We start from the raw sequence: 19,627 nt of genomic DNA, 5'->3' as shown, positions 1-19,627 counted from the left end.
GCTGGGTGTGCCAGCTCATCAGGCACCCAATCTTGCAAGACTATCATTAAAAGTCTCACTTTTGCTGTTCTCCGGTCTCTGAGGTCTCTGAGTCCATTCTTCGGGTGTGGATGGGTGAGTTTGTTTCTCACATGCCCACATCATGCTCTTTCCAGCACAAGGCCGGCCTGGAAGGGAGGAAGATAATAAAAGTGACTTGAGCACTTAGACCTCCCATGTTTCAGCAGGTGTGGGTAACTGAAGGCTCTGCAGGTCTCTGGGTCTGGGGGCCTCAATGTTGTAGACGAGGTCCCAGGAGCTGAGAGTGCTACTGGGGCATGTCAGGATAAGGGCTAGGCCTGCCTTCCCAGAAGATGTCACTTCCAGTGAATGTCTGTTCAAAGGCTGACTTTATCATACAACAGATAATTATTTCATCCTTTTGCTTCTAGCAAGTCTGGGAAAGAGCTACAGAAGGGGCTGACAGCATGTAGGGTTTTTGTTGTTATTTAAAAAAAAAAGTCTAACAATCATTGCCCATTAATTAAGGTGTCTAGACCATTTACATTTAATGCAACTATTGATATGGTTGAGCTTAAATGTACTATCTTGCTCTTTTTCTATACATTCCATTTGTTCTTTGTTCCTCCTTTCCTTTCCTTTTTTTGTATTAAATAAGTATTGCCGATTGTCTCATTTTATCTCCTTTATTGGCTTATTTTTTGGATTTTACCAGTTTTCCCACTGATGTTCTTTTTCTATTCCAGTATACACATACAATCCAGGATACTGTGTTGCATTTAGAATAAATATATTTTGAATAAATGAATGAATGTAGCTCCCCAGCCCTCTGGGGATTTCATATACGTGAGATCATGCAGTGTTTGTCTTTTTGTGTCTGGCTTATTTCACTCAGTCATAGTATCTTTAAGGTTCATTTGTGTTGTAGCATGTCAGAATTTTATTTCTTTTTAAGGCTGAATACTATTTTATTGCATGTATAGACCACATTTTGTTTATTCATTTGTCCTGTGATGAACATTTGGGTTGTTTCCATCTTTTGGCTACTGGGGATAATGCTGCTACAAACTTGTGTACAAATACCTGTTCACGTCCCTGCTGTCAATTATTTTGTGTCTGTACCCAGAAGTGGAATTGCTGGATCAAACAGTAATTCTGTGTTCAGTTTTAATTTTCCTTTCATTTTTTTGAGACATAGTCTCACTATGTTGCCCAGGCTGGTCTCAAACTCCTGGGCTCAAGTGATCCTCCTGTCTCAGCCTTCCAAACCACTAGGATTACAGGCATTAGCCACTGTGCCAGGCTTATGTTTAGTGTTTTGAGGAACTGCCTACTGTTTTCTGCACTGGCTGCACCATTTCACATTCCCACCGGCAGTGCACAAATGTTCCAATTTCTCCATATCCTCCCCGACACTTGTTTTATTTTCAAATAGTAGCTATCTTGATGGGTGTGAGGTGGTATCTCATTGTGGTTTTGATTTGCATTTCCCTGATAATCAGTGATGTTGAGCATCTTTTCATGTGTGTGCTGTTTTTATATATTCTTTGGACAAATGTTTACTCAAGTCCTTTGCCCATTTTTGGATTTTTTTTTTAATTGCTGCGTGTTAGGAGTTCTTTATGTATAGATGGTCCCTGACTTACAATGGTTAAACTTATAATTTTTCAACTTTACAATGTTGCAAAAGCTATACACATTCAGTATGCTCCTTAACAATATTTTCTTTTTTTTTTTTTTTTTTTTTTTTGAGACGGAGTCTCGCTCTGTCACCCAGGCTGGAGTGCAGTGGCGCGATCTCGGCTCACTGCAAGCTCTGCCTCCTGGGTTCATGCCATTCTCCTGCCTCAGCCTCCCGAGTAGCTGGGACTACAGGAGCCTGCCAACACGCCCGGCTAATTTTTTGTATTTTTAGTAGACACGGGGTTTCACTGTGTTAGCCAGGATGGTCTCTATCTCCTGACCTCGTGATCCACCCGCCTCGGCCTCCCAAAGTGCTGGGATTACAGGCATGAGCCACTGCGCCTGGCCCTTAACAATATTTTCAACTCGTGATGGATTTATCTGGATGTAACCCATTGTAAGCTGAGGAGCATCTGTATAGACAATTAAAAAAAATTTTTTTTTTTCTTTGAGACAGAGTCTCGCTCTGTCACCCAGGCTGGAGTGCAATGGCGCGATCTAGGCTCACTGCAACCTCTGCCTCCGAGGTTCAAGCGATTCTCCTGCCTCAGCCTCCTGAGTAGCTGGGATTACAGGCGCCCACCACCATGCCCAGCTAATTTTTTTTTTTTTGTATTTTTAGTACAGACAGGGTTTTACCATGTTGGTCAGGCTGGTCTCGAACTCCTGACCTCAGGTGATCTGCCAGCATCAGCCTCCCAAAGTGCTGGGATTACAGGCATGAGCCACCACGCCTGGCCTTTTTTAAAATTAAGATAGTCTTGCTCTGTTGCCCAGGCTGGAGTGCAATGGCGCGATCTCGGGTCACTGCAACCTCTGCCTCCTGGGTTCAAGGGATTCTCCTGCCTCAGCCTCCTCAATAGCTGGGATTACAGGCGTGCGCCGCCACCACACCTGGCTAATTTTTGTATTTTTAGTAGAGATGGGTTTTTGCCATGTTGGCCAAACCTTGAACTCCTGACCTCAGGTGATTCGCCTGCCTCAGCCTCCCAAAGTGTTGGAATTACAGGTGTGAACCACTGCAGCTGGCCTAGGCAATTGTCTTTTAAAGAGATTATATATATACATATTTAAAGACAGGGTCAGCTGGGCGCAGTGGCTCATGCCTGTAATCCCAGCACTTTGGGAGGCCGAGGTGGGCAGATCACGAGGTCAGGAGATTGAGACCATCCTGGCTAACACGGTGAAACCTCGTCTCTACTAAAAATACAAAAAATTCACCGAGCGTGGTGGCGGGCACCTGTAGTCCCAGCTACTCAGGAGGCTGAGGCAGGAGAATGGCATGAACCCGGGAGGCAGAGCTTGCAGTGAGCCGAGATCAGGCCACTGCACTCCAACCTGGGTGACAGAGCAAGACACTGTCAAAAAAAAAAATAATAAATAAAATAAAATAAAGACAGGGTCTTGCCATGTTGCCCAGGCTGGCTTTGAACCCCTATCAAGTGATTCTCCCAGCTTAATCTCCTGAGTAGCTGGGACAACAGGCACTTTTAAAAATCAGAAAAAACCCTGCCTTTTGTGTCCTCCCAAACAGTGACCATTTCAGGTGCTCGTCATATCTTTGTGTACAAGCAGTTTCCATCTGGTGTCATTTTCCTTCTGCCAGAAAAACTTCTTTTGACAATTTTTGTAAATCTTCCAGCTTTGTATGTCTGAAAAGTCTTTATTTCACCTTCACTTTTGAAAGATATTTTCACTGGGTATAGAATTCCAGGTTGACATTCTTTTCTTTCAAAACTAAATTTGGATAAATGTTTATTCAAGCTGGGCTTGGGATTACAAATCCCAGCACTTTGGGAGGCTGAGGTAGGCAGATCACCTGAGGTTGGGAGTTTGAGACCAGCCTAACCGACATAGAGAAACCCCGTCTCCACTAAAAATACAAAATTAGGCAGGCATGGAGGCGCATGCCTGAAATCCCAGCTATTTGGGAGGCCGAGGCAGGCGAATTGCTTGAACCAGGGAGGCGGAGGTTGTGGTGAGGCGAGATCGTGCCACCGCACTCCAGCCTGGGCAACAAGAGCGAAACTCCATCTCAAAAAAATAAATAAATAAGTTTATTCAAGTTCTTTGCCCAACCCACAGGTGTTGTTCACTGTCTGCTTGCAGTTTCTAGTGAGAAGTCTTGCTGCCATTCTTTGTTCCTGTAAACACAAAGTGTCTTTTTTCTCTGGCTGCTTTTTTTTATTTGTCACTGGTTTGGAGGAATTTCATGATGATGTGCTTCATGTAATTTTCTCCATGTTTCTTTTGGGGTTTGTTGAGCTTCCTGGATCTGTGGCTTTATGTTTCCACCAAATTAGGAAATTTTACAGTCATTATTTTATTTATTTATTTATTTAGAGATGGAGTTTCGCTCTTGTTGCCCAGGCTGGAGTGCAATGGCACAATCTCAGCTTGCTGCAACCTCCGCCTCCCGGGTTCAAGCGATTCTCCTGCCTCAGCCTCCCAAGTAGCTGGGATTATAAGCACCTGCCACCACGCCTGGCTAATTTTTGCATTTTTAGTAGAGACAGGGTTTCACCATGTTGGCCAGGCTGGTCTCAAACTCCTGACCTCTGGTGATCCGCCAGCATCAGCTTCCCAAAGTGTTGAGATTACAGGCGTGAGCCACCACGCCCGGCCTGCCGTTATTTTTTCCAAAAGTTGTCTCCACCCTGCTATGCCCCTCGTCCATGGGTCTCCAGTTAAAGGCACAGTAGGCTGCTTGAAGTGGTCCCACAACTCAGAGGGGCTCTGCCATTTTCCTCATTTTTTTTCTGTTCCCTTTTGGATAGCTTATATTGCAATGGCTTCAAGTCCACTAATTTTTTGCTCTGCAATGTCTATTTTGGTTTTAATCTCATCAGTGTATTTTCCATCTCAGACATTGTATTTTTGTCTCTGGAAATTGTTTGGGCCATTTTTATGTCTTTCATTCCTTTTCTTAACATGCTCCTGTTTTCGTCTATCCTTCTTAATAATGGCCATTCTGATGTCCCTGTCTACTTAGTAGACGGAATTATTCTACCACCTTGTGTCATTTCTGGGTCTGTTTCTACAGACTAACTTTTCTTCTCATTGTGTGGTATAGTTCCTGCTTCTTTGCATGTTTGATTGTTTTTTTTCTTTTTTTGAGACGGAGTCTCACTCTGTCGCCCAGGCTAGAGTGCAGTGGTGAGATTGAGATCTTGGCTTACTTACCTCCACCTCCTGGGTTCAAGTGATTCTCCTGCCTCGGCCTTCCGAGTAGCTGGGATTACAGGCACATGCCACCGTGCCTGGCTTATTTTTGTATTTTTAGAGACGGGGTTTCACCATGTTGGCCAGGCTGTTCTCAAACTCCTAGCCTCAAGTGATCCACCCGCCTTGACCTCCCACAGTGCTTGGATTACAGGCGTGAGCCTCTGACACCCGGCCTCGTTTGTTCTAAAAAAAATAAGTAAATAAATATGTTTTCCCCCTTACTTTTGAGTTTTGTTCTGGATGCTATTAAAGCACTTGCAACCGTTTGGTCTTTTTGAGGCTTGACTTAAAGGTGTTAGGAAGGCACAGAGCAGTCTCTAGTCTAGGGCTAATCTAGCCTGAATATGGCATCAATATCCTTTTGAGTCCTCTACCCTGTTCTCCATGAATGATGTTTCCCCACACTTAGTGCTGGGAATGTGACTTGCTTCCCGCTTTCTTCCAATGGCTCTTTCCCCAGCCTCAGGCAGTTTCCTCACACACAGGAGCCATCAGTCCTCAGCAGGAGCCTTAGGGGAACACTGAGGCAATTTCTACTCCAGTGTTGCAGCTGCCCTGGGCTCTTGGTGTTTGTTCCCTCTCTCAGGCGTTACTATCCTGCAATGGCTGCTGTCCGATGTCTCTCTCTCTATATAGTCATCTATGGGCCAGTTTTTGTTGCTCCACCACAGCTGGAAGACCAACAATATTTACTGCAAACATATATGCCAGGTACTGCTCTAGGCAAAGTCCCACCCCTCACGGAAGCGACACCTCAGTTAGTAGAGTTAGAATAAGTACATTTGCATATTTACTTAAATATGCATTACGTCCAGTGGTAAAGTTAGGTAGGGCGAGAGGGAGCGTGATGGAGGGGTTGTCCTACACATTAGGGCACTGGGATGCTTCTCTGAGCTGAATCCGGGGGAGCCCTATGGATGTCCAGAGGAAGAGCTCCCCAGGCAGAAGGAGCGAGGGGGGTGCAGGGGAAACATGCTGAGCATTCTCAGAACAGCAGGAAGGCCTGGCTGGGGCAGAGCAAGCCTTGGGATAGGGGAGGAGGGGTGAAGCCAGAGGCTGTGGGGCCACAGACTTTTACTTTTAAGGACATGTTTAGCCACTGGAGTGTTGGGACAGGGGAGTGACAGATCTGGCTGCTGTATAAGGACAGACTGCCAGGTGCAGGGCAGAAGCAGGGAGCCTGGAAGGCGCTATGTAGTGACCCTATAGGGGAAGGAGGCAGGCTGGCTGGAGTAGTGTGGTCCTGTGGGGCAGGGATGTGGCCAGAGGATGTGAAGGGAAGAGCCGACAGGCCCGAGGGGGCAGCGACAGGAGTAACAGAAATGAGGGCTTGGGTGGCAGTCTGTTGTGGAAACCTGGAAGGAGTCAGCACGTGGCTGACCGTGGCCACTTGCTCCCGATGCTCGCAGCAGGCGGTCAAGGCCGTCCTCATTGCAGGAAGCCCCCAGCCAGTCCTCTGCAATCCCCTTCTAAGTTGCCCCCTGGAATTTTACCATGCTGACCACCTCTCTGAGCGCCCCCTCTACCCGTGACACGGGAGTGGTATATCCTCGGCCCCAGGGCAGCAAATCCCACTCTGGGCCTGGCTCCAACCCACCACTTGGGCACCACTGACTTTTCTCTAAGAATCAGCATAATTTGCTCTTCTAACAGCTTCCCAGGAACAGCAAAGGCTCTTCTCAACTGTCCCCAGCACATGCTCCCACCCACCCTCTGCCCCAAACAACCTTTACTCTAGTCCAGAGCTTCTCAGAGGGGCTGTGGCTCAACTGCTCACTCATCCCTGGAGGGGCTGGGACCCGCCTCAGTCGACTTGTGTGGGGACCAGCACTCAAGCAGCCTGCCCTCTTCTGTCCTCCAGGCCACCCCGCCTCCTCTCCTGTCAACTCCTCTTCCTTCAAGGCCCCACACAAGCTACACCGACTCCAGAGGGAGCACAGCTGGGCCCATCTCCCCTGCTAGAGCAAAGCTCCTGGAGGGCAGGGGCCTATCAATCACACGGGGCCTGACCATACAGGCACCAAAAAAGTAAAGTGGACACCAAGATGTGATGGATCAGGCGTGCATGACAGTGGCGTCTGGGGATGGGGCGCGAGTATCACCTCTCTCCGTGAAGGTCTAGTACACTGGTTGTGTACCCTGGAGCCAGACCTGGGTCCTTTCTCCCCATTTACCAGCTGGGCGAGCTGGGGAGGAGCGTGCTCTGGGCTGAGCCTTCCCACCTGTAGCAGGGGGCGAGTAAGGGGCCTCACACAATGCACAGTGGGGTCTCTAGGAGCTGGCGGGTAGACAGCAGGTGCAGCAGGCCCCGCCCACTGACTGCTCCTTTGGCCCTCCCAGGTGGAGGGTCACAAACTCCACCCTCAGAAGTGCTGACAGACAAGAGTCCTCTTGTGCAAATATAAAGAGGTTTATTCATTCTGTCATTAGGATACAAAATAGAACATGTAAAAGGCACCCCTCCCGTCGACCCCACAGTTCAGTGTGAACACCGAGCGCTCGTCCAGGGAAGGCTGCCATGCACGGCGTGGCTCCCGGTGAAGGCAGCCGGCTTGAGCCAGCCTCAGGTCTCGAACATGGCACAGCTGGTGCACAGCACTTTCTCGTACATGTCACTGCAGCTGCGACAGCGTCAGGGAGGGGAGAGAAAAGCTGCTGTCAGGGGCTGAATTGTGTCCACCACCCCCCACCATTCAAACGTCAAAGTCCTAACCCAGAACACCTCAGGACATGACCTTATCTGGAGACAGGATCACTGCGGGCATCATCAGTCTAGATGACGGCACTGACATGGGGGCCCTAAGGCAACACGACCAGCGTCCTAAAAAGACTACGTGAAGAGAAGGACACAGAGAAGGAAGACGACATGAAGATACAGGGAGGGGGCAGCTGTCTACAGGGAACACCAAAGATAACCAGCAGATGCCAGGAGAGAGGCCAGGACAGGTTTTCCATTGCAGCCTCAGAAGGAACCAGCCCTGCCAGCACCTTCCTCTCAGACTTCTGGTCTCCAAAGCCACGTGGCAGTACCTCTTTGCTGTCTATGCCACTGGGTCTGCGAACTCAGTTACAGCAGCCCTAGCTGATTCCCACTGCCGATCAATCCACATGGGGCCCAACCTGGGTTTCCAGTAGGATAGAAGCTCTCCAAAGAAACCTCCAGATGACCTGCCAGAATTCACCGAACCACAATGGTTTACACTGAAGCACATCAAACAGTGCTTTTCTGATATATCAAGACTAAGGGTAGGGCCGGGCATGGTGGCTCACGCGTATGGTGTGGCTTACCTCAGCACTTTGGGAGGCTGAGGCCGGAGGATCACCTGAGGTCAGGAGTTCGAGACCAGCCTGGCCAACATGGTGAAACTCTGTCTCTACTAAGAATACAAAAATTAGCTGGGCGTGCTAGCGCACGCCTGTAACTCCAGCTACTTGGGAGGCTGAGACAGGAAAATTGCTTGAACACAGGAGGTGGAAGTTGCAGTGAGCCAAGATCGCACCACTGCACTCCAGCCTGGGTGACAGAGCGAGACTCCGTCTCAAAAAAAAAAAAAAAAGAAAGCTCTAAAGGTAAAGGCTAGGGAACCCGGCAAAACACAGGGAGAAAGTGATTAAGAGAGATGTTGCGAGGAAACGGGACTGGCAATGGCTACCCCAAACACGACAGGGCCGTGGAGTCAACAAGGCAGCCAGAACTGCTTGCCACTTGGTTTGCAGAGTTTGCCAGTAGTATTGTGGGTGAGCCGCGAAGACAGCCCCTCACCGCCACCGGCAGCCAGCTGGAGAGCCCTGCAGAGGACGGGCCAGGCGTGGGCCAGTGCAGGCCATCAGCAGGACGCCAAAGGCTGCTGGGCTGCATCTGTGTTAAACCAGAGCCGTGTGGACAGATCCCTGTTTTCCCCCACTCCTGCGACGCCTGGTCCTGAAGTAGGAAATGGCAGGGGAGGGGGTAGGAGACTGCGGGTGCCACCAGCTGGGCTGCCTGGCCTGGGAATGCCACTTCTGGCTTGTGACCTGGAACAAGTCATTTATTTGTGAAAGAGGGCAGAGCCCACCTCCTGTGCTGTAGCTGCGATAAAAGAGTGTGTCCACAGTGGGGACAGTGGCCCACTCAGCTCAACGTGAACTCTGTGGGTATGGGAGGAAGCAGCAGCAGAAAGTAGGTAGAGGCCAGGAGGAAATGGGCGCAAGGGAGTCCCTCAAGGATGGTGTGCAGGGCAGGAGTGGGAGGCCAGCCACGCAGCGCTCTGGGACCCACCTCTCCGCTGAACCTGCCCATGGCTATGTTCACTTCTGCTTTGGTGAGAGGGCCACCAGACAATGAGAAAACCCTGCCCTTTTCAGTTTACTTCTAGGAAAGAAGATGAACTCAGCGGGTGAAAAGCAAAGACAGAGTATCCCACATTCATAGCTAGCCCTGCAGATGATTCCCAACCTGGATGGGGTGCGTTACCCCACTCCTGCCCATGCTGAAGCCATGGGAGCCGATCACTGGCACGCGGCGCTTCTCCCTGGTGCTGCCCCCCCTGCCCAGGGCTCTCCGTCTCCAATGAGTCTGGGCCTCTGCCCCGACTGAAGAAAGGCTCGAGAGAAAGGACTCGAGATGTAACATGTGGTTTCTATTTTAGATGGACAATTTCAGACATTGTTTGGACTAAGCTTGCTTTGGGTCTATGGAGCCAGTTCCACATGTGTCTGGATGAAGTCATCTTTCTCACGGGGCAGGGCAAACAGGCTCCACACTGTCCACTCCCATCCACCAGGTGAGTAGCCCCTAGGGTGAGAACGCCCCTCCCCACCTTAGGAGTAAGGACGGGATCCAGCCAGCTGCAGCAAACCCACCCACAAATGGGAGACTACACAAACACTCCACTTCCTGCCTGAGAGGGTCTACAACCAAACGGCACGCATGACTGTGGTGAAGCTGCGGTGTGCACCTGTGTCACCAACCAGGGGCTCCTCGGACGGGGGGAGGGGGGGCTCAAAGACCAGAGGAGGAGGAGGTGGGGGTGCTCAAAGATCAGAACAGGAAGTGGCTGAAGACAGGGACTAGAGCCGGATACAGAGCAGGTCATCTGTGAGGTTCAGCTTTCCCTTAGAGAGGATTACTAACCACTAAAGTTGGGCCAAGCATCTATTGCCACCATGTCCCGTTAGGCAATGCCAGATGGCACTGCATCAGGGGCCACACGTGTGTGTTCTGGGCCCACATGGGTGACCCACCCGTCCCCCATCACGGCTTGCTGGGGCTATGGGATCTCAGCAGCTCCAGGGACTGAAGTACTTACTCCACGAGGCCACACAGGGTACAGGCCACGGAGCCGCAGCCCCAGCAGGTGCGCACACACTGCCCGCACAGGGCTCGCTCACACTGACCGCAGACCGCCTTCCCATCCACGGCTCGCACGCATGAGGAACAGGCAATGGACGCTACCCCAGATGGGTCTGTGAGGAAGAAACGCCAAGCCGTCAGGCTGCAAGGAGACTGGAGTTTCCGGGACTGCCGGGCTACCTGCCTCCATGCATACCTGAGGGCAGAGGGCTCTGACCTGCCTACCCCATCCCCACCTACACTGGATCCTTCTGACAACCCGTGAGCCTGGTACAGTGCACAGGACCCCCGTTTTACTACAGAGATCCAAGGTGAGATATGCCTGTAGTTGACTCCAAGTTCAGTGCTCTTTCCCTTACCAGGTCCCTCTGCTACCTGGAGGCTAGTGCTGGAAGGACCATTCTTCCCCTGTTGCTTGTCAGAACTCCATGTGTCCCATCTGGGTCTCAGTGTGGCCCACTGCCTTACTGGTTAACAAAGAGGTGCCTGGGCTCCTCCTAGACACACCAACCAGACTTGAGGTAGAGTCGGGGATTGCATTTCTAACCAGCAACACAGGTGATGCTCTGAGACCCCACACTGCATAGGGATGGGACTGGCATGTTTCCAGCCTTGTGGGACTATCTGAGGGGGCTGCAGGCGGAAAGCAGACGGGATACCCGGGGAGTCTCTGCTGCTTTTTTGGCCCAGTACTTAGAAGCTGTTTAACAACTTCCAGTCTTGAATGTGAGACCTCCTGATAACAGGAGCCTTCTGAGCCAGAAGGCCAAGCTCTGGGTCAGAGTCCTGCTTACCCAGGGAGGAAAAGCCTGACCTTGCAAATCAAGAAAAATGCTCGTGCCACCACCTGCCCTCAGTGCCACAGCCACAAAGGGCTGCTGGTGCCACTCACCAGCTTCGGAGGCCTGCCCAAGGCTCCTGATCAGGCGGCCGTCTGGTCCAATCAGCATCTGCCCACGTGCAGCCCTCGGGGCCCCTGTAGGGCCAGGCTTTGGGGACTCTGGCAGGTGAACGACGGCACAGCCTTCATCCCACACGTGGTCCAGGTAGGCCTGGGCCCCGAGGAACAGGAGTCGCTTGGTCTTCTCTGGGGGAAGATAAATCATTCTCACGTCCTTCACTGTGTACCAACGAAGCCCCTGCATGGCCATTGAGTCTTTCTAGCCTCACATGAACCCCATCGTCCTCCTGTGTGCCCTCTGTCTCCCAGTAACCCCAGCCTGTGTTGTGCCCTGGCGAGCTGGGTCCTGCTCTGCCTCTATGCTGAGAATGCTTGTGCGTCCTTTCCTTACCTGGCTTAGCTGTCATCTCCTCCAGGAAGGCTCTGGCCCTGCAGCCCCACCTGTGTCTGATGCAAGGGTTCCCTCTCCTATCACTCGGCTCATTTTCTGCAATTCACGGCTGGCCTCGCCTCACTAAGCTTGTCCCCTTTCTCCCTTTTCTGCTTCCCCAGCACTCCCCACCTGGAAACCAGGCTCTGTGGAATGCACAGAGGGAGCTCTGCACTGTGGAGCACTAATTCACAAAACTCGTCCCCTGCCAAGGAAGCAGCCAGAGGCTTGGAGCTGGGCCTACAGCCTCTGGCCAGAGCACACCCCCTTCACCTGCTACAGAGTTGCTGGCAAGACAAGCATCCCAGAACCTTCCAGACCTCTTGTTCTAGAACACCCACCCATCCCTGGGAGCAGTGGTTTTCCATCAGGCCACAGTTCAGTCACCTGGGGAGCTTTGAAAAATCAGATGCCCAGGGCCAGACCCAGAAATGCTTTGTTTTTTGTTTTGCACCTCACCATAACACAGTAAAGGCAGAGATCCCAGAAACTCTATGTGGCTCTACATGAAGTGGGCAGCAATAATAGTGACAGGGTAACTCACATGGAGTAGCTGATGCCAGCCCACAACACCCTGCACCTTCCTCCTGGCCCCCCACACCTTCCCCCATCTATAAGGGGAAAGGAATGGGACAGACACGTGGTGAGGCTAATCCTTGTCCTCAAGGCCTTGTGGACAATTCGAGGTTAAGAGATCAGGGTAACAGCTGTGGCCTGGAATTTGGAAACTGTCACACAGTTCAAAGTAGGTGTCCTGCATTTACCATGGAAGGCCCACTGCACCCAGCAGACCTCCCTGACCTGACCCGGTGAGTGGCACACACCTGCCAACGCCCAGGTCAGGACACTCGGGAAGAATAAAGGGCCATACTGAGCCAGGCCCCATTTCCATCTTCCTCTTCTTGCCTGCACAGTGTTTGAATTTTTCAACTGTCCTGAGAGGGCACACGATTGCGGTCCTGCCACAGTTCCCACGGCATCATTCCCCTTACCTCCCCATGGCCCAGAATAGCACTCGCTTTCACAGCCCTAGCACACTGGAGACACCGCACAGAGGAACCTCGGGAGGCAGAGTCTTTCCCTCATTCCCAAGGCACAAGCGGCACCAGGTAAATCACACACCCCGGGTCATCCTCTAACTGCTCTACAGGTGCAGACTTTGTGTCCCAATCACTAGGCAAGGTAAGCTCCACTTTTTACCTGCCCCAGGGTATTAATCACCCCAGTCAGAGTGATGATCAATAAGATCAACACGCCTGAAATCCACAGGAGAAAGCCAGAGAAGGCCTGGGAGCTCACTGCCCTCACATCCCACCCAGAACTGGACACTGCAGCCACACGGAGTCCTATTTCGCTCTCCTGCTGCCTGGCTTCTGCCTCGCCCTCTTCCTTCCCTTCCTCTGCCTGGCTAACTCCTACTCGCCCCCACAGGATTCCGCTCAGACTGTTCTTCCAAGAAGCCTTCCGTGCCATCCCTGCAGGTGCGCCTGCACAAACCTGTGCCTGCCCCGACCACCTGTGGCGACTCCTCCTGCTGGTCTCCCCAACTAGGCTGGGGAGCTCCCGGGAGACGGGGCACATCTGTCTTGCCTGCCTTTGGTCTCCCGAGAAAGCCGCCGTGCCTGGCAGGGCCGCGCGCTCCATGAATACCTCTTGGGACAGGAGGGGCACTCTTCGGGTTGACTCCATGCAGGACGCCCCGCTCCCCAACCTCTCCCAGGACATCCTGCACGGGACAGTCCTGAGAAAGCACCAGGCGGGTGCCGCTCACTGCAGGGCGGCGACTAACCGGGATCGTGGAAGAGGGCGCGGGGGCTAGGGGCAGGGACCCTTTTCTTTCAGGCTGTTGGACAGGGTGGGCGAACGCTGGGGTCCTCACATCCCCCTCACTGACCCCAGCCCTGGGCGTGGCCAGCTTGTGTCCCCGCGGCCTCCCAGCTTCCGGGAACGCGGGGCCAGAAAGCAGGGCCCTCCAGCCCCCCGCTCAGGCCTCAGAGGGGACGCTGAGGCCCGGCCCGTTCCAGGCCCCGACGCAGCGGACCCTCGGCAGCCCGCCCGACACTCACCGAAGACCTCCTGCGAGTAGCGCTCGGCGCACACGCCGCGGCTCAACTCCCTCTGGCTCACGCGGACCTTGAGCTGTAGCGGGGCCACGTCCGCGAAGGGGCAGCTCCGCTTGGGCATGGCCGCGGGGCCGGGAGCTACGCAGCTCCCCGGCCGCCAGCCCCTTACCAACGACGCCGTGACGTCACAGCTGCGCGCCCATCCGCGGGCGAGAGCGGGTTTGAGGAGAGGGAGCGACGCGGCGCGTCATAGGCTGCGGGCGAAGTGGGAGGCGGGACTCCTGCGCGGAGCGGCGCGGGATAGGCCGAGGGAGAGATCGGGGGTGGGACTCGTGCGTCGGTGTACTGGACTCGACGCCGCGGGAAAGGCCAGGGGCCAGGTTGAGGATCAGGGTGGGCGGGTCCGTGGGAGAGATTTGTGCGCGCGCCGCTCAGGATAGGCGGGAGGAGAGACTAGGGGCGGGGTTCCTATGCGGCGCGAAGCGACGAAGGGTGGGAGCCAGGTCGCGGCATTCGGCTGCGCGGGAAGAGCCAGGGGGCGGGGGCGAGGCCGAGGGTCAGGACGGTGCAACGAGGGCGGAGCTTGTGCATCGGGGGCGGGCCTCGTTTGAGGATCGGCGTGGGATAGGCCAGGGCGACGTCGGGGCGGGTCTAGTTTGAGGAGCGGCGCGGGATAGGCCAGGGCAAAGTCTGGGGCGGCTGGGTCGGTGGCGGGATTCCTGTCAGCTTTTGTTTGGTTCCTAAACGGTAGACACTGGTTATAGTTCCTCATTTACTTCTCCGAAGTTAAGAGGCAGCCCGCTTCTTCCTAGCTCTTTTTTCCCCTTTAGAGACAGGGTCTCGCTCTGTCACCCAGACTGAGTGCAGTGGCAGTCTCGGCTCACTGTAGCTTGCGCCTCCCGGGCTCAGGCGATCCTCCCTTCTCGGCCTCCCCGGTAGCTGGGACCGCAGGCGCGCGCCTCCGCGCCCCGCTTTTTGGTTTTGGGTAGGAACGGGGGTTTTTCTGTGTTGCCTCAGCTGGCTTAGCTCCTCACTGTGGCGGTCTCCGCCTTCCAGAAGTAAAGGCGTGTGGGGGCTGCGCTCTGAGGGCCGCGTGCGGCTGCCGAGCGCCCCCGGGCGGGGGTATGCGCCGCTGTGTGGAAAATGTTCTTGCACAGCGGGTTCGTCTGACTTGGTGTCCCCATGCCGCGAGGTGCACCCGCGTCGTCCCTTCTCCGGGGTTCTGCTCACCAGAGGCGGCTCTCCCCTGCCCCGGCGGGTACAGAACCGACCCGTCCTGTGGCGTGGGCTTCGCCCTGTGAGAGATGACAGCGTGCTGGCAGCCCTCGCTCGCTCTCGGCGCCCACTCTGGCCGCGCTCGAGGGGCCCTTCAGCCCGCCGCTGCACTGTGGGAGCCCCTCTCTGGGCTGGCCGCGGCCGGAGCCGGCTCCCTCAGCTTGCAGGGAGGTGTGGAGGGAGAGGTGCGGGCGGGAACCCGGGCTGCACGTGGCGCTTGCGGGTCAGCGTGAGTTCCGGGTGGGCGTGGGCTCGGCGGGCCCCGCAATCGGAGCCACCGGCCCCAGGCAGTGAGGAGCTTAGCACCCGGGCCAGCAGCTGCGGAGGATGCGCCGGGTCCCCCACCAGTGCCGGCCCGCCGGCGCTGCGCTCGAATTCTCACCGGGCCTCAGCTGCCTCCCCGCGAGGCAGGGCTCAGGACCTGCAGCCCGCCATGCCTGAGTCTCCCCCCTGCCGTGGGCTCTTGCGCGGCCCCCTGCTCCGCGGCACCCGGTCCCATCGACCGCCCAAGGGCTGAGGAGTGCGGGCGCACGGCGCGGGACTGGCGGGCAGCTCCACCTGCAGCCCCGGTGTGGGATCCACTAGGTGAAGCCAGCTGGGCTCCTGAGTCTAGCGGCGACTTGGAGAACCTTTATGTCAAGCTAAGGGATTGTAAATACACCAATCAGCACTGTGTTTAGCTCAAGGTTTGTAAACTCACCAATCGGTACCCTGTGTCTAGCTCAAGGTTTGTAGATGCACCCATGGGCACTCTGTATCCAGCTAATCTGGTGGGGATTTGGAGAACCTTTATGTCTAGCTGTGGGATTGTGGACGCACCAGTCAGCACTCTGTGTTTAGCTCAAGGTTTGTAAATGTACCAATCAGCACTCTGTATCTAGCTAATCTGGTGGGGACTTGGAGAACCTTTATGTCTAGCTAAGGGACTGTAAATACACCAATCAGCACTCTGTGTCTAGCTCAAGGTTTGTAAAGACACCAATCAGCACCCTGTATCTAGCTCAAGGTTTGTAAATGCACCAATCAGTGCTCTGTGGGGACTTGGAGAACTTCTGTGTCTAGCTCAGGGATTGTAAACACACCAATCAGCGCCCTGTCAAGACGGACCAATCAGCTTTCTGTAAAACAGACCAGCCCTCTGTAAAATGGACCAATCAGCAGGATATGGGTGGGGCCAGATAAGGGAATAAAAGCAGGCCGCCCGAGCAGGCAGTGGGAACGTGTTGGTGTTCTGCCACATGTTTGGGGCTTTGCTCTTTCACTCTTTGGGTCCACACTTTTTATGAGCTGTAACACTCACTGGGAAGGTGTGTAGCTTCACTTCTGAGGCCAGCAAAGCCACAAACCCACCGGGAGGAATGAACAGCTCCAGACACACTGCCTTAAGAGCTGTAACACTCCTTGTGAAGGTCTGCAGCTCCACTCCTGAAGCCAGCAAGACCGTGAGTCTGCCAGAAGGAACAAACTCCAAACACGTCCAAACATCAGAAGGAACAAACTGCAGACATAACAATTTTAAGAACTGTAACAGTCAACTGTGAGGACCTAGTGCTTCATTCTTAAAGTCAGTGAGATCAAGAACCCACCAATTCTGGACACACCTGGACTATGTTCTCACGACTCCATCGGTGTTGCCTCCGGTGTGAAGAGGTGATGCCTGGAGTCCCGCAAACCCCTCCCACGTGACTCCCGTGTTGCAGCTGCCCACGCCCCCTCAGAGGCAGTGTATGCTTTCCTAGCCATGGGTGGCTGAAACCTTACCAGTCTCCAGCTTAGATGTCCTTTCTCCTCCTGCCGTGCAGGGTTCCCTGTGGTGGGGATGGGATCAAGCATTCTTGGCTCTTCCTTGCCACTTTGCTGGCATAATGGAGAATTTTTTCTGCCTTAGGGAAATGACTTGAAAGTTACTCAGTTGGAGTCACGTGTGACTAAACACAGATTTGGTTTATCCCAGAAATAGATGAAGTTCTCAGAGAGGAGGATTGTTTTCAATCTTATGGATCGTGGGGATTTCTAAAGATTTCCCTGTGTTCAGACTTGCAACTCTCCTAGGGTCTCATCACCATCGTGGACAGATACAGAACATCGGGCAGCTTATGGAGTGGGGCTGTCCCCCAGGCCACATGCCGGTTCCTCAGAGGTTGCTGGGTAGGATTCTGCTGCTTTAACAAACTTGCCTGGCTAACACCACTGGCTCACCCTTGAATGCCTTCCTGGGTGAAGCCATGAACCCTCCAGGGTTAAGCCCCAATTTTGGGGCTCACCTGCCCTGCATCAGATTGATGGTTAACTTGTAAAGAAACTGGCAGCTTTCCAGAGTGCTAGGAAAAAGGAAAATTATCATTAAACAAAATCATTGTCATAGTTTTCCTCTAATTCGTCTTGAGGTCTCTCCTGGAGAGTGGCTGTAAACTTTGGCCCTTCCCTGATGGGGCTCTGGGGGCGGTGGGCATGGGGTTACAGTGTGTGCTCTCGTGGGATGCCTCCTGACCCTGGCTGATGGCCTCAGGCCTGTGTATCCAGCTGTGCTGGCATTCCTCTCACCAGCAGCTTGCTTCTAGGCTTTGGCAGGCAGCCTGTGGCTTTTGTCTGAGCAGTGATCAGTTCATTCCTATCATGATGGTCTCTCTGGGAGAGTCCTGACCAGGAGAGTGAGGTTTGGGTGCAAGGGTCAGGTGAGAGCTGGAGGAGGCAGCACAGCAGAACACATGAAACTGCAGAGCAGGTGTGTGACTCAACCGGGCGGGAGCGAGGAGGCAGCGTTCCTCACAGGCCAGTGGGGAGGGGGAGCCACGGGGAACAGGCAGGCCCAGCCAGATGGTGGGGAGCGAGCCAGCGGCCTGTGCACCAAATCTGTATTCAGGTCCAGGGTGTTGTTACTCAAGTGCATTTCCTGTGGGGTGTGATTTCGAGCCGGCAGGCATCAGCTTCATGGCATCTTGCTGTGACTGGGTGGTGGTCACTGTGGCACGTCTGCACAGTCCGTGAGGGGTGTGGGGGCCAGGGGCTGAGTCCAGTAGGTTGTATCCAGGTGTCCCATAGGGAGCTGGTCACCAGCTGGCAGGTGTATAAAGCAGAGATCTGGGTGGACCACCCTGGGCAACTGGGAGGAGGTGAGGAGCTAGAAACTGTCAAGAATGACTGAGCCCTGCTTCTGTACCAGAAAGTCCCACTTTTATTCAGAATGGATGCCATTCTGAATAAATATTGTCATAAAATGATAAGAATTCACTACAATTATCACTAATTTGTCTTTTACCCATGTATTCAACAGAGACCACTCTGACCCCATCTACACTGGGGCTGTGTTATTGATGAAAAGTGGAGAGAGCCCCTTACTATAACCACTCAGACCCTCCAAACATCTGCTACTGAGAAGAAGGGGGTGGAGACCCGAATGATTGACCTGCCTGTCTGCACTAACCCACCGCTCAGACGCCAGAGCCTCTTGTCTCTGGTTCACGTGGAAGTGAGTGAGTTGGTGCTGGGGGAGAAGTATTTCCCCTCTGCGTTGGTGTCTTTTTACCCTGTGAAACGCCTGCCTTCCATCCCGAGAGGAAAGAAAACGATGACAACTTGTGTTCTGGTGGAAGATTTAGCAGCTACTACAAAACAGAGGTTTGAAAACCTATTTTGCAGCTCTCAAATTTCAATTTAGATGACTTGACTTTGAGGGCCCAGTGTAGATGTGAGGGCTGAGTAGAGAAAGCCCGCAGCCCCCTCTCCCCAGGAGCTTACCCCTGCCTCGGGGCTCCCTTTTTGTCTCTCTTGCTGTGTTATGAAAGGAGAGCATCTGGGAATACTCAAAGGCTGGCTTCTGCCTGTGTGTCCCACCCCATCTCAAGGTGGCTAGTGCTGCTGAGGGACTCCGGCCTGAGGAAGGAAGCGCCCGTGGCCTGGGGCAGAGCCGTGCAGTTGCATGGCTTTCCTGCCGCTCAAGTCACTGAGGGCTGTTCTTGGTACTGTCTAGAAAAGTTGCTTGCATCCCTGGAGTCACAGGAATCTCATAACCCAGCCTATGCCCCCAGGCCCCTGCCGTGTCAGTAGAGCCTGCTGAACTTCCTGGGCTAGCGAGACCAGCTGACAGCCACAGTGCTCAAAAGTCAGGGTCTAACCCCGCCAGACTGGCGTCTCTGTAGGATTCCCTGTCTTTGAAAGGATACTGGAAGGGCAGTTGTTTTTCTAAACTTACTCCGAACTCTGAGCCACTGCACCTGGCCTTAATATCATTTTAAAAACTAAACACGCTGGCGCGGTGCCTCCCACCTGTAATCCCAGCACTTCGGGAGGCCAAGGTGGGTGAATCATGAGGTCAGGCGTTTGAGACCAGCCTGGGCAGCATGGTGAAACCCCATCCCTATTAAAAATACAAAAATTAGCTGGGCGTCGTGGCGGGCCCCTGTAATACCAGCTACTCAGGAGGCCGAGGCAGGAGAATCGCTTGAACCTGGGAGGCAGAGGTTATGGTGAGCAGAGATCGCGCCACTGCACTCCAGCCTGGGTGATAGAGCAAGACTCTGTCTCAAAACAAACCATATTTAATTGACTTGGTCTCTTATATGGGCTTGTTCTATTTAATTTTCTGAGTAAACACAAGGCTTGGCTTTGTTACCCAAAAAACATGGGCAGCTCTTAGGAAGCTACATCCTCCAGACTCCTGTCACAGTGAATTGTTGTCTTTCAGTGTTTAAAAGCAATAAAGACAAAGTCAAATCAAA

General features: G+C 53.5%; 1 protein-coding gene and 2 long non-coding RNA genes across 7 annotated transcripts in view, besides 7 other annotated features; 1 reads left to right on the top strand and 2 right to left on the bottom strand.

Annotated features, from left to right (window-relative positions):
• The window catches only part of LOC102723342 (uncharacterized), a 4,602-nt gene extending 2,460 nt beyond the window's left edge, over window positions 1-2,142 (bottom strand). For both annotated transcript variants that reach the window (XR_007064362.1, XR_429419.5), the window contains exon 1: window positions 60-2,142. This is a non-coding gene — a long non-coding RNA (uncharacterized LOC102723342). The remainder of the gene's footprint in view (window positions 1-59) is intronic.
• Window positions 8-19,627, top strand: LOC107987209 (uncharacterized). 2 transcript variants are annotated; one of them, XR_001750915.3, is made up of 3 exons: window positions 8-114; window positions 9,537-10,551; window positions 18,184-19,627. It is a non-coding gene; the product is annotated as an uncharacterized LOC107987209 (long non-coding RNA). The 2 variants fall into 2 exon arrangements; XR_001750914.3 differs by lacking the exon at window positions 18,184-19,627 and adding an exon at window positions 12,486-13,644.
• Window positions 5,667-6,613: an enhancer, noted in NCBI's record as "H3K4me1 hESC enhancer chr14:105226681-105227627 (GRCh37/hg19 assembly coordinates)". NCBI's record gives its function as "activates a minimal SCP1, AML or CMV promoter by ChIP-STARR-seq in primed H9 embryonic stem cells {active_cell/tissue: H9 hESC(primed)}" and the evidence as "EXISTENCE:reporter gene assay evidence [ECO:0000049][PMID:30033119]".
• Window positions 6,614-7,562: an enhancer, noted in NCBI's record as "H3K4me1 hESC enhancer chr14:105225732-105226680 (GRCh37/hg19 assembly coordinates)". NCBI's record gives its function as "activates a minimal SCP1, AML or CMV promoter by ChIP-STARR-seq in primed H9 embryonic stem cells {active_cell/tissue: H9 hESC(primed)}" and the evidence as "EXISTENCE:reporter gene assay evidence [ECO:0000049][PMID:30033119]".
• SIVA1 (SIVA1 apoptosis inducing factor) lies at window positions 7,303-13,810 on the bottom strand. 3 transcript variants are annotated; one of them, XM_011536360.3, is made up of 4 exons: window positions 13,638-13,810; window positions 11,133-11,327; window positions 10,197-10,353; window positions 7,303-7,738 (listed from the first exon to the last, which is right to left on the bottom strand). In XM_011536360.3, the coding sequence occupies exons 1-4, from the start codon at window positions 13,753-13,755 to the stop codon at window positions 7,708-7,710; spliced, it is 501 nt and encodes a 166-aa protein (XP_011534662.1). In that variant the 5' UTR covers window positions 13,756-13,810; the 3' UTR covers window positions 7,303-7,707. The 3 variants fall into 3 exon arrangements, with proteins under 3 accessions (XP_011534662.1, NP_006418.2, NP_068355.1); NM_006427.4 differs by having other exon boundaries at window positions 7,303-7,529; NM_021709.3 differs by lacking the exon at window positions 11,133-11,327 and having other exon boundaries at window positions 7,303-7,529.
• Window positions 13,490-13,991: an enhancer, noted in NCBI's record as "H3K27ac hESC enhancer chr14:105219303-105219804 (GRCh37/hg19 assembly coordinates)". NCBI's record gives its function as "activates a minimal SCP1, AML or CMV promoter by ChIP-STARR-seq in naive and primed H9 embryonic stem cells {active_cell/tissue: H9 hESC(naive and primed)}" and the evidence as "EXISTENCE:reporter gene assay evidence [ECO:0000049][PMID:30033119]".
• Window positions 13,715-13,784: an enhancer, noted in NCBI's record as "active region_9123". NCBI's record gives its function as "activates an Ori minimal core promoter by ATAC-STARR-seq in GM12878 lymphoblastoid cells {active_cell/tissue: GM12878}" and the evidence as "EXISTENCE:reporter gene assay evidence [ECO:0000049][PMID:35858748]".
• Window positions 13,795-13,844: an enhancer, noted in NCBI's record as "active region_9122". NCBI's record gives its function as "activates an Ori minimal core promoter by ATAC-STARR-seq in GM12878 lymphoblastoid cells {active_cell/tissue: GM12878}" and the evidence as "EXISTENCE:reporter gene assay evidence [ECO:0000049][PMID:35858748]".
• Window positions 13,945-14,314: a silencer, noted in NCBI's record as "silent region_6196". NCBI's record gives its function as "represses an Ori minimal core promoter by ATAC-STARR-seq in GM12878 lymphoblastoid cells {active_cell/tissue: GM12878}" and the evidence as "EXISTENCE:reporter gene assay evidence [ECO:0000049][PMID:35858748]".
• Window positions 14,695-14,784: an enhancer, noted in NCBI's record as "active region_9121". NCBI's record gives its function as "activates an Ori minimal core promoter by ATAC-STARR-seq in GM12878 lymphoblastoid cells {active_cell/tissue: GM12878}" and the evidence as "EXISTENCE:reporter gene assay evidence [ECO:0000049][PMID:35858748]".

The sequence above is a fragment of the Homo sapiens genome, chromosome 14 (assembly GCF_000001405.40).
Source record: "Homo sapiens chromosome 14, GRCh38.p14 Primary Assembly".
NCBI classification, from domain to species: Eukaryota; Metazoa; Chordata; class Mammalia; order Primates; family Hominidae; genus Homo; species Homo sapiens.
The sequence above is the reverse complement of the archived record's forward strand: the minus strand, read 5'-3'. Positions and strand labels throughout refer to the sequence as shown.

Excerpts from the sequence above, each read along its gene's own strand:
- SIVA1 (NM_006427.4), bottom strand. The coding sequence starts at position 13,755 with ATGCCCAAGCGGAGCTGCCCCTTCGCGGACGTGGCCCCGCTACAGCTC. Across the intron at positions 11,328-13,637 it reads CTACTCGCAGGAGGTCTTCG|AGAAGACCAAGCGACTCCTG; the intron begins GTGAGTGTCGGG and ends ATCTTCCCCCAG. Across the intron at positions 10,354-11,132 it reads TGGGCAGGCCTCCGAAGCTG|ACCCATCTGGGGTAGCGTCC; the intron begins GTGAGTGGCACC and ends TCTTCCTCACAG.